The sequence below is a fragment of the Homo sapiens genome, chromosome 6 (assembly GCF_000001405.40).
Source record: "Homo sapiens chromosome 6, GRCh38.p14 Primary Assembly".
Classification (NCBI taxonomy): Eukaryota; Metazoa; Chordata; class Mammalia; order Primates; family Hominidae; genus Homo; species Homo sapiens.
Genome location: NC_000006.12, coordinates 144,476,338 through 144,488,398, shown reverse-complemented (window position 1 = coordinate 144,488,398; position 12,061 = coordinate 144,476,338). Strand labels below are relative to the sequence as shown.

At 37.8% G+C, this 12,061-nt stretch overlaps 1 protein-coding gene across 1 annotated transcript in view; it reads right to left on the bottom strand.

The window, feature by feature from the left end:
• Positions 1-12,061, bottom strand: part of UTRN (utrophin) — a 567,700-nt gene that overhangs the window by 364,636 nt on the left and 191,003 nt on the right. The window contains exons 26-29 of the mRNA NM_007124.3: positions 8,417-8,587; positions 6,011-6,190; positions 2,880-3,014; positions 702-851 (exon numbers count right to left, since the gene is read on the bottom strand). Coding sequence (NP_009055.2) covers positions 702-851; positions 2,880-3,014; positions 6,011-6,190; positions 8,417-8,587 — 636 coding nt within the window. The remainder of the gene's footprint in view (positions 1-701; positions 852-2,879; positions 3,015-6,010; positions 6,191-8,416; positions 8,588-12,061) is intronic.

Here is a 12,061-nt window from a genome sequence, read left to right as displayed (position 1 = left end):
TAAAAATGTGTTATTTATTATAATTTTAAAGCATTTTTAGGAATCAGCAATGTCTGCCAATTAAGAATATAAAACATAAGAAAAATGTCTATCAATACACAAACATCAGAGTCTCTTTTTTTCCAAAGCCTAAAACAAATTCTATAGGTGTACATACATATCAAACTACTATTTACAGCACTTTTGGGTTAAGCTTGATGTTATTCATGGGCTGAACATCAACAGTTATTATTTAATATGTGTTTGGAAGCACCTAATATTCATACCCAACCTTCCTATAAAAGAAATGTTCTTTCTCTAATTTGTGATACGAATATGTATGTTACAACCTGGATATGAACTAAGAGACTATGGCTTTCACAGCAGCTTATGTGAAATATCATGGCCCTAATATTTACTAGGATAGTATGAGTTGTTGTTCTTATATACAGCTATCATATGATCCTTAATGAAAATTAAATGTTTGTAAGTAGAAGTAATCTCAAAAATAATTTTTTTAATCATCCAGTTCTGTCTTAGAGTGTTAGATCTATTCTTCCTTTCTGAATATTTCAATACCCTCAATGCCCCTGTTAGCATTGGTTACCAACTTTAACCAACATTAAAGATTTTTCCAACATTAAAGCTCTATGATATGGAGCTTAGGGCCAGCTCCACTTCATCAATACCTAATCAACACCCATGTATGTCCCAACTCTTACCAGGTGACTTAGATCTTCATATCGGCTGTTGAAAGCCTCCAGTTTCTCACTGATTATATCATCCAGGATCCCCCCATCAATCAGAGTCTGGCCAAGCTCTCGAATCTGGGTGCGATTATCTGCCGGGTGGCGCAGAACAGATTCCAGAGACTGGAATGGAGATGGGAAAAAAAAATAATAATGCATTTACTAAGGCAAAAGGTATCAAGGATCCCCAAAATGTCTATTTGTTAAACAAGTAATTATATTTTCTAAAAATCTACCTAAGTAACAGGACCAAAAGTTAAGTAAATTACTAATTCACAAAAATATCCATCATGGGATTAAAAAATGCATAAAATTGAGAAATTAGCACAAGTGATATATGATATAATTTCACAAAAATAATTTCAACTATTATTAATTATGGGAGGGTGAGGCAGGAGGATCACTTGAGCCCAAGAGTTCAAGGCTGCAGTGAGCTGTCATACCACTGGACTCCAGCCTGGGCAACAGAGCGAGACTATGTCTCTAAACAATAAATAAATGAATAATAAAAAGTTAAAAATAATTATTAATTATATGGGGAAATGCTCATGACACAAAGTTCAAAGGCAGAGAACAGTACTATACAAGCAAAATGATCTCAACTTTTATTAATTATATTACTAAAAATAAGTAGTCATTTTCCTACAATATATGCAGAATAAGAGGCATTGTTTTATATACACACTTTTTATATACATAAATCTAATTAACCATATGGGCTAAATAGCATTCCCAGTTTACAGATTGGAAAATTGAAGCTCAGAAAGGTTAAATTACTTGCCTACATACACACAGTCAAAAGAAGAGCTAAGATTCCAACATGGCTCTAAAGCTTTAAGACTCCAAAGCCTGGCCAAGTGCGATGGCTCACACCTCTAATCCTAGCACATTGGGAGGCCGAAGCGGGTGGATCACCTGATGTCAGGAGTTCGAGCCCAGCCTGGCCGACATGGTAAAACCCCATCTCTACTAAAAATACAAAATTAGCTGGGGTAGTGGCACACGCCTGTGATCCCAGCTACTCAGGAGGCTGAGGCATGAGAATTGCTTGAACTCAGGAGGTGGAGGTTGCAGTGAGCCAAAATCATGCAATTGCACTCCAGCCTGGGCAACATAGCAAGATTCCATCTCAAATAAAAAGATAAATAAGTAAATAAAAGACTCCAAAGCCTTTGATCCAATATACTACCTTCTAGTATGCATACATAAAAGATAATAATTAGGAAGAAATCTACAAACTGTTTTAAAATGTTTATCTTAGAGTTTGCTTTATACTTTTCTTTATTTTCCATATTTCAAGAATATATACGTATTCACTCTTACATTAGGAAAAAAATTAAGCTTTTCATATTTTTCATTCACTCTGTCTCTCACTCTGCTATATTTGAGAAGTGACATCTTTTCTCTAGCAGAGCATCCGTCTCCTGGAATGTAAGTGCCACATTTTACTCATTTCTGACCTTTAATCCAGTTGTCCACTCAGTTCCCACATGGTACCATGACATTTTTAAAAGCCTATCTACCCCCTTCCCTTTTCTTTTTTGTTAAGCAAACCTACCCTCTTTGCACTGTATTTCATTTAAGAAACGGTTATTAAGTTAACATGTGCTACACACTGTGCTGGGAACTGAGGAATAACAAAGCATCGGGTACATTTCTTGGCCTCAAGGAGTTCAAATCCAGGCTTGAAGACAAGCTCCTACGACAAGATCCCATGGCTCAACCACTGTCTTAACTTCTAGCATCTGAAGGTAAGAGACAGGAATCCCCTATAAACTGTCAGTGCTGTGTTTAGTGAGTAAAAATAACTTGTTGATGAAACAAGAGAGCAGTTGTCCTAATAACATATGGCAGAGCTTTGTCCAGGGCCTACTAAAATAAACTGGAAAACCACTAGAGTGCTTCAACATGTCTAAAATGTAAGATGTCAAACAGCTAACCACGTCTTGAGGCTGATATAATGGGTCACCAATAATCTAAATACACATGATTGTATAAACACTTCAGGCTATGGAAGAAAATGCAAGTGACATTGAAAACCACTGAGGAAGCAAATGCATTTGCCTGCGTAAAGCATTACATTCCTCATTGTAATACACGTGTGGCCTCATCACAGCAAAGAGAAATGCCGTGGAGATCACGGGTTCCAACCTCCAGGGCTTCGTTGACAGCATCCGTCTTCTCAGGCAGGACCTCTGTGCTCTTCATCCGCTCTTCCAAAGTGTTTAACCAGGTAGTTTCAAGATCCAAATAGTGAAGCAGTTCAATCCAACAAGACCAGACCTCCTAAAGCATGAAAAATTTTAAATTAGACAAAAAGCCATTTCACACATCGTATCTCTAGTACTACACATTCTCTTTAATCGCTAATAATTTCATTTGGATGTGAGTATACCTAGGAATTCAGAACTGATGGAGTTGAAACTTCAAAAAAATAAAATAAAATCGGCCAGGCGTGGTGGCTCACGCCTGTAATCCCAGCACTTTGGGAGGCTGAAGCAGGCAGATCATGAGGTCAGGAGATTAAGACCATCCTGGCTAACACGGTGAAACCCTGTCTCTACTAAAAATATATATATATATATAAAAATATTAGCCGGGTGTGGTGGCGGATGCCTGTAGTCCCAGCTACTCTGGAGGAGGCAGGAGAATGGCGTGAACCCGGGAGGCGGAGGTTGCGGTGAGCTGAGATTGCACCACTGCATTCCAGCCTGGGCAACAGAGCAAGACTCCATCTCAAATAAAATAAAATAAAATAATCAACAAAATCATATGAGACCAGTTGGTGAAGGGTGGGGAGCAAAGAGTGGGCAAGAGGCTGCCTCACTCTTTAAAATAAATTCCATGATCTGATTTAAATGTCAAAAATAGAACTATATAATTAGTAAGAAAAACAGGAGAGAAACATTATTTAGTTTGTTTTTTAAAGACCAAGTGCGGTGGTTCACACCTGTAATCTCAGCATTTTGGGAGGCCAAGGCAGGTGGATCACATGAGGTCAGGAGTTCAAGACCAGCCTGGCCAACATGGTGAAACCCCATCTCTACTAAAAATACAAAAACTAGCTGGGCATGGTGGCAGGCACCTGTAATCCCAGCTACTCGGGAGGCTGAGGCAGGAGAATCACTTGAACCTGGGAGGCAGAGGTTACAGTAAGCCCAGGCCACGCCACTGCCCTCCAGCCTGGGTAACAAGAGTGAAACTCCATCTCAAAAAAAAAAAAAAAAAAAAAAAAAAAGTTTGGTTTTTGAACAAAATGAAAAAATTGCTCCCAATTGTAAATTTTTAAAAAATAATTTCATAGAAAATTGAAATCTCCTGGGCCCCACCCAATTCCAACTTGGAGCTAACTGATGTAAAAGTTTGCAATGTAGCCTTCCCAACTTTTTTCTAAATTCATGAGGACATGTCAATATAAGAGAGCCACATTTTACCAAAACTGGAGTTATACTGTTCTTACTGTGTTGGTTTTGATCACTCATTCCCCTCTGAGGTTTCCAGAGCAGGGACCCAGGGGTTGTGTAGTGGGTGGAAACATTTATAAATTTATAATCCCTTATTATAAGAGGAACTTATTTGAGTGGTAAGTTTAGGAGAAAGAACTCAGCTGGATGCCTCCTGGGCTTGTCGTCTTGAATGTACTGAATGAGTGGAGGCATCTTCTGGTTTACATAAATGAGTGAAGGCACCTGCCGGTCCACTCTCCATATGAAGTATGCTTACCAGATCAAGGAGCAGTACATTTTTCTACAAAGGGCCAGCCAGTAAATATTTTAGGTTTTGGGAGGACACATTTGCTTCCTATCACAGATTCTTCTTGGAGGGGGGTATGTGTTGTACAACCCTTGAGAAATGTATAAACTATTCTCAGTTAACCAGGTATCCAAAACCAAACTACAAGTTAGATTTAAACCCTCAGCCAGTCCGGGTGCAGTGGCTAATGCCTTTAATCCCAGGACTTTGGTAGGCCAAGGCAGGAGGATGGCTTGAGCCCAAGAGTTCCAGACCAACTTGGGCAACATAGCAAGACCCCCATCTCTACAAAAAAAATTTAAAAATAATTAGCCAGGTGTGGCATTGCAAGGCTGGAGTCATAGCTACTCAGGAAGCGGGGGCAGGAAGGTCACTTGAGCCCAGGAGTTTGAGGTTACAGTGAGCTGTGATCATACCACTGCACTCCAGCATAGGTGACAGAGCAAGACCCTGTCTCAAACAAAACAAAACAAAATCCTCAGCCATAATTTTCCAGCCACTGAATTAGAATAAAAGAAAAGAGGTTCTAGTCCCCCAATTTCCACAAGCAAAAAGCAGACCAAAAATCTGCTCAGATGCAAGCACAACCTCTTTTCTTATGGGAAAGAAAAAATGACTCAAAGAAGACCACTTCCAAGAAGCAGACAGATCCCAAATCAAGTAGCTTTCTTACTAACTTGCCTCAATGATATATATTTATCTTAGCACAAAATTGGTTTAGAACAAGAAACGAATGAATTTACAAATGAATGAATGATCAAAGTAATGAATGAATTTAGGTTAAATATTGCAGTTGCCATTTTTTACCATTTCAAGATTTGCCACAATACAAATATTTGTTTTACGTCAAATTGAATGTAAATTAAATTGTTGTAAATTGAAAGCCTTCTTAAATCTTCCAACAAGCAATAACAAAAGTCATACTACTATAAAAACAAACAAGCAAAACCTCACTCTTAGTTTAAAAAAATTTCATAGACTCATCTACATTTTACGTGTAATGGCCAGGGAGAAAAAAAAAAGGTATTTTATCTAAGACCCAGTAAAACTGTCACATATTTAAGTTCTATTTTTCCTTCAGGTGACTCTTGAACTTTAGACACCACTCAAAAGAAAATAATTCCTCTCTATGTACTCAACCAGGCAAAACAAAACAAAAGAGAGGCTTGAAATGTGCTCTGCAATTTTTGGACTGGAATAGGCCCTACAGATCATCTGTTACATGAAAACCTGGATTGCACCTATAAAAAAAGTAAAGTTTGAATATACAAAATGACTTGCCCAAGAACCTTCTGATAATTAGGGACAGATTTTGGTCTCCTGTTTTTAACCCCTCTTTCATTTTTATCAAACTATTTCCCAAGAACTATTTTTTCTTTATAATCCAGAATTTGAAAGAAAAGAGAAGTTTTCTCCAAGATTTGAAAATGGCCAAAACATTACAGAGTTTGGATCTCAGAAATACATCACTGAAAATAATAATAATAATAATAATAATAATAATAACAACAATAATAATAATAGCATACCTCTAGCGTGTGGCACTTTCCTCGAATTCTATTACAAAGAAGTTGGTAATTCTCCAGCACAACATTCAGCTCAGACGTCAACTCCTGGCCACCAGAGGGCACCTTGGCAGCTAATAACTTGATGTTGTCCTTGAGAATCTTCACTCTCACCTCCTTCTGCAACACATCCTCTTTTGCCCTCTGTTCCAAGAAAGGATGGATGAACTTGAAAAACGTCTCCCTTTCTCAGTAACCAATTTCTTTTCTTTCTTTTTTTTTCAAGAATTAAACCAAAGTTAAAACATCTGGATGATTCTAACTGCCAAAATAGAACATTATTTAGGTAACAGTGAATGGTTCTTTGTGGGGTTTTGTTTTTGTTTTTGTTTTTGAGATAGAGTCTTGTTCACTACAACCTCTGCCTCCCAGTTCAAGAAATTCTCCTGCCTCAGCCTCCCGAGAAGCTGTGATTACAGGCACCCACCACTATGCCTACCTAATTTTCATATTTTTTAGTCGAGATGAGGCTTCGCCATGTTGGCGGGGCTGGTCTCAAACTCCTGACCTGAGGTGATCCACCCACCTTGGCCTCCCAAAGTGCTGGGATTAGAGGCGTGAGCCACTGCACCCAGCCCAGTTGAGCGTTTTTGAAATAAGAATGCTAACTCTGAAATTTCACTCATGCATCCAATGTACTCAGCTCCCACAAATGTTTTCATTTCATAACAGCAGTGTTAACGTAAGTTATCCAAAGTATGTTTACTGACATGAAGTATTTTCAAAGTCTGGGTCCAAGATCAGAATTTAAGTGAGTGAATTTTCATTATCACTGGAGGGCTGAGCAGATTACACTGTGATAAATATATTTTCACAAAAATTGAGGTACACTATGGTAGAAGTATCTTTAAAAGTTCTCTAAATAATTTAAGCTTTTTAAAAAATTATAGAACATAGGCACATGTATCCTTCTGCTAATTAATAGCATTTCAATGATAAAGTTAGACTGAGATGATCTGATCCAGAAATAGCTGTTTCTCAGTGCTAAGATAAACAATCTGACATTCAGGAAAATCAACCTATCAGGTTGGTGCAAAAGTAATTGCAGTTTATGCCATTACTTTTAATGGCAATAAATACAAATAAAACAGTCTTTCACTTTCCCCTTTACTTTTCTCTACTACTTAATGGTTTTGAACTTCCTTAGATTGGGGGAAAGTAATTAAGTGTAGTGGTTTTGTAAGTCCTAATGGCTGTTTGAAAGAATAAAAATAAATAAAATGTTGCCCAATCAAATATTTAAATATCATTTTTCTCAAATCTCATCTATAGCAACTTTTAAAATCCACAGAACTACAATGCCAATAGTGTAAAGAAAGACAATAAATGAGACAATTCTTAACATGGTAGCCTATTTTAAAATACCTTATGTACTGAGTATTTTTAAATCTTTCAAAAAGAGCTACACTAAAAAAGATGTTTTAGTGAAAAAACAACTTCCAACAAGTCTCCTGTCATATTTACTTTGATTCATGTATAATAATGTATGAATGTCATATAATCCCTTTTTTGAAAAAAATCACAGATTTTTGCTTTAGTTACACTTCTAGGTAAGTTAACTTTGAGGTAAAACATTAGTCACTGTGTTGCTTAAGCTTACAGGAAAAAAAAGCTTTGAAAACACCATCTCCTTTGGCTTGAACATTCAAGGACAGTTGAAGCTGTGTTAGAAATTTGGGAATGATGCCCAGTTCTTTTATTATATATAAAAAGAGAGTGTTCAAGACTATCGACAGAGGAGTACAAGTTTACAGGAAATGTATCCAGTGGATCCAACTAATATGAACTCCCCGATGCATTCCTACCGCTATTCCTACCTGCTCTAATGAAACGTCAGTGTTCATATGTGCCGTATGTATTAACTGGAAGATTAGTAACAGGAAAATAAGAATAAACCTCAGACAACTTGGGAGGTCTCTTTTGTTCCCCTTACAAAAAATAACTCTTTGTGAAAATGTTTGGAAATAGTGATGAATGCAATTAATGCCACTGGATTGTGCACTTAAAAATTAAGCTGACCAATGTTATATGTATTTACCCCAATTAAAAAAAAATGATCATTCTTCCTCATGCCCACTACCAGAGGTTTTTAAGTCATTCTCTGTAGCCTCCCAAAGGTCTAACTTAAGAGCTTGTCTCATGGGCCCTCATGGACTCAACTCATGGGCCAAGCCAAATATGTGGACTCCTGGCTTTCTTCCCCTGCTAAAATTAGAGCAGCTACCCTGTTATGTTTTTTTAATTCAAAAACCTACTGTGAAAGATGCTACATGCACATAGTGTTTGACAGATAGACAGATGATTGATGTGCTGGTTTTAAAGGGAGGAGGGAGGCATGAAGCCTGTTGGCACTGGTCGTCCCCGCCTCACCTTCATCTCTTCCACAGCACTCTCAAGCTCTTCTGGTGACTTGTACTCAAAATCCCGCTCCAAATATTCTTCCTCGGCCTGGGTCATCCATTCCTGCATCTCTGCCAAGTCTTTCTTCAGGTTCGCAGCTTTTTCTTGACTTTCAGACAACCTACTTTTTTGAGTAGCGATCTACAAAGGAAAAGCCATTCCCCCAAATAAACAAATGTTAATGTGTTCAATGTCAAGTTTTAGCTCTTAATATTTAAAGGCACAGTAATAACTTTCCACAACGAATTGCATGCTTTAAAATTCAGATAAAATCTCATACATCTCATGCTAACGCTGTGGAATATAAGCAGTAATGAAAATAATCTTAAGACTGGGATTCCACACCACATTTGGATAATACTCTTATCTCGAAATAGCTATTATAATTTTGACAATGCATAACTGTTGACTGTAATCCCAGATGTAGGAATCTAATCTATAACAGTAAAAGCACATATATGAAGTAAATTTAATGTAGCACTACTTATAATGGAAAAAAGAAAAAAGAAAGCAAAAACAAAAAATCTAGAAGCCAGTCAGTCTTGGTGGCTCACACCTGTAATCCCAGCACTTTGGGAGGCCACGGCAGGGGGATCACCTGAGGTCAGGAGTTTGAGATCAGCATGGCCAACATGGCAAAACCCCATCTCTACTAAAAATACAAAAACTAACCAGGCATGGTGGTGCATGCCTGTAGTCCCAGCTACTTGGGAGGTAGAGGCGGGAGAATTGCCTGAACCTGGGTGGCAGAGGTTGCAGTGAGCCGAGATCGCACCACTGCACTCTAACCCAGGGAACAGAGCGAGACTCTGTCTCAAAAAAAAAAAAAAAAAAAAAACCCCTAGAAGCAATCAAAATGTCCATTTTCTTCTTTTTAACTGCACTTCCCATTAAGATTTCACTTTTAAAAAGCAGGGAGGGAGAGGCTGCTATTAAAGATGTCATAAGACACCGCTCTATAAAATTTTGGTTTTGATGTCTACTATGTTTGTATATGCCACACAGACACAAAAAAGTTACAGTAAAAAATAGATAGTTGTCTGATTCTGATTCAGTAACTTAGTTAAAAATTTTGGAGAAGTCTAGAAATATTTTCAGAGCACTCCTCCCCATAACGACAAACTGACTTCTACTGTGAGAGAAGGCGCCGTTCTGCAGTCACAGTCCAACCTCTACTTGGCAGGTTCAGCCTCATGCTCAAATTAAACGCCACAGTAGTGGCCACCCTGCCAGGGCCTGCTTGGCTGCTAGGTGGATAGTAACCAAAGGCCAGCACAGGAGCTGGATGGTTCTCACAGAAGTTAGAGTTAAGCAAGAGACAGAGGCTTTCCCAGTCCCTCCCTCCAAACAGGATCTCCGGCATAAAAATAGACAGGACCAAACAAGAGCTTTTCTTCCACTGTCCCCACAGGGTAACCAAGGAGCTGATGCCAGCAACACTCACAATCCCATTCCCAAGCCTGGCTGATCATCAGGTTAACCTGGTCAGCTTTTCATAAAAATACATGCACACACACAGAAAGAGAAAGAGAGAGACAGAGATTCTTGGGCCCCATTTCCAGAAAATTCTCTGTATGTGTACTTCTTGAACACTAGTCAGCAATATAATTTTCACAGATCCAAAAAGAAATGAAGAAAATAAAGACACTACCATAAGCTTAACAACAACAAAACACCCTCAAAATTATCTTTAATTATCCTGAGAATATATACTTTCTATTTTTTGGCATTAAAATGTTCCTTTTTTTCAGGATATCATGAATATAATAGATGAAATAGACTATCTTTGTTTGTTGATTTGTTTTATATGCCTGTTCTTTTTAGCAAAATGAAAATTTGGCAAAATTATGTTTGTCCAAAACTACTTCAACATTTGTACTAGTCAATGCAATGCAATAGTCTGGAAATGCTCTAGATAATTATTCACACATGTGGTTACCTCCTTCCTGAGGACACTTTAAATTTCCCATATATTTATTCCTGTATTTTGAATCAGTAATTCACAATGAATTATTTGTCACCATATGTATGTGGATGGATGGATAGATAGATAGATAGATAGATAGATAGATAGATAGATAGAGATACAAACTTCTAATTATCACCTTCCTTGATCCTCATTGCCACTTCCAAACCATTTTCTATTTCCTCAAAAACCCCAGTTCCTTAAGGCACATGCCATCAGATTATAGCACATTGAGAAAAATTTGAATTTAGCTAGGATAAGAGATGAGAGTATAACATTATTAGTTTCTTAAGTGTGATCATAGTATTGTGGTTTTGCAGAAGAATGCCTTCATGCTTGGAAAATCATGCTAGAGTATTTAGGGGTGAAGTGTCATGATGTTTTCAACTTACTGTTCAAAAGTACCAAAAAAAAAGGGTGTGTGCGTGTGTGTGTGTGTGTGTGTGTGTGTGTATAAAGAGAAAGGCAGAGAGAGAGAAAGCAAATGTGGTAAAACATTAGCAAGTCTCTGAATGGATGGATATACAGCTGTTCCTTTTTATCATTCTTTAACTTTTCTTTACATTTGAACATGTTCAAAATAAGTTGGGTAAAACAATAAACACAAAGCAAAATATTCAGTTATGCAAATATAAATTTTTCTGATACAAACATTAGCCAAAAGCATTTTATTAAGAAATACGTACTATTTACGTGACTGTGGGGTAAGCCTATATTTCATATTGACTTCTATTTTTCACTGCTTTGTCACTCACTTCAGCTATATATAGCCTCACTATTATTCCACTAATAAAAATCAAAGCAATTGGGAAAGAATACCTCCCAGTTCTACTGTTCCCATATCATTTCCTCCCTTCCATTACCACGGAGAAACCATATCTCTAGCAACATCTTCACTTAGACGGTGGATCTCATCCTCGCATAATCACAGACTTCACTTGATAAATTCTCCTATCTCAATCTCTTTCTGCACCATCATTTTTTTTCTAAAGTGAGGTCCTCTTATTAATATCTCTCATTTAATATCTCTCATTATTAAAAATAACAAAACCACCTCTTTGGATTCCCATCACCAGCACCCACCCATTTCTCTGCTCCCCTGAAGACAGAAATTTCTCAAAGTTGGTTATGCTTGGTGTCCCAGCTCCTCAGTTCCCATACCCTCCTCGAACTATCCACTATGACTTTTTTCCCACCAGTTCATTGACCCTGCTTTCTCAAGGTTATTAAATGCCTCCTTCTTATCAAATTTAAAGCTCGATTTTCTGTTTTGATTGGCCCCTGCAATCCTCAGCATTAGGCCCTGTGAAAAGTTTTCTCCACCTAGCATTTGGGACCCCACATTCCCCGTTACTGATTTTTCCTCCTTAGCTTCTAGCATCAAATTTAACCCTTCCAGAATGGTAGTCATCATTTCACCTACACCCACAGAAGCTTCTCCTTCGTTATTGCAGTAAATGACACCACAATTCACACAAAGTGGAAGCTTTGTAAAAATCCTGAGTCATCCTTGACCATTCACTTTTTCTTCTATCACACATCCAATTCTTTCCTTAGGTCTCTTCTTTATTTTCAAACCTAATATTTCTCATGCCCTCCATCACTACTTCGTTAAGCCTCCCTAGTGTATGGGTCCATCCTCTCTCTCC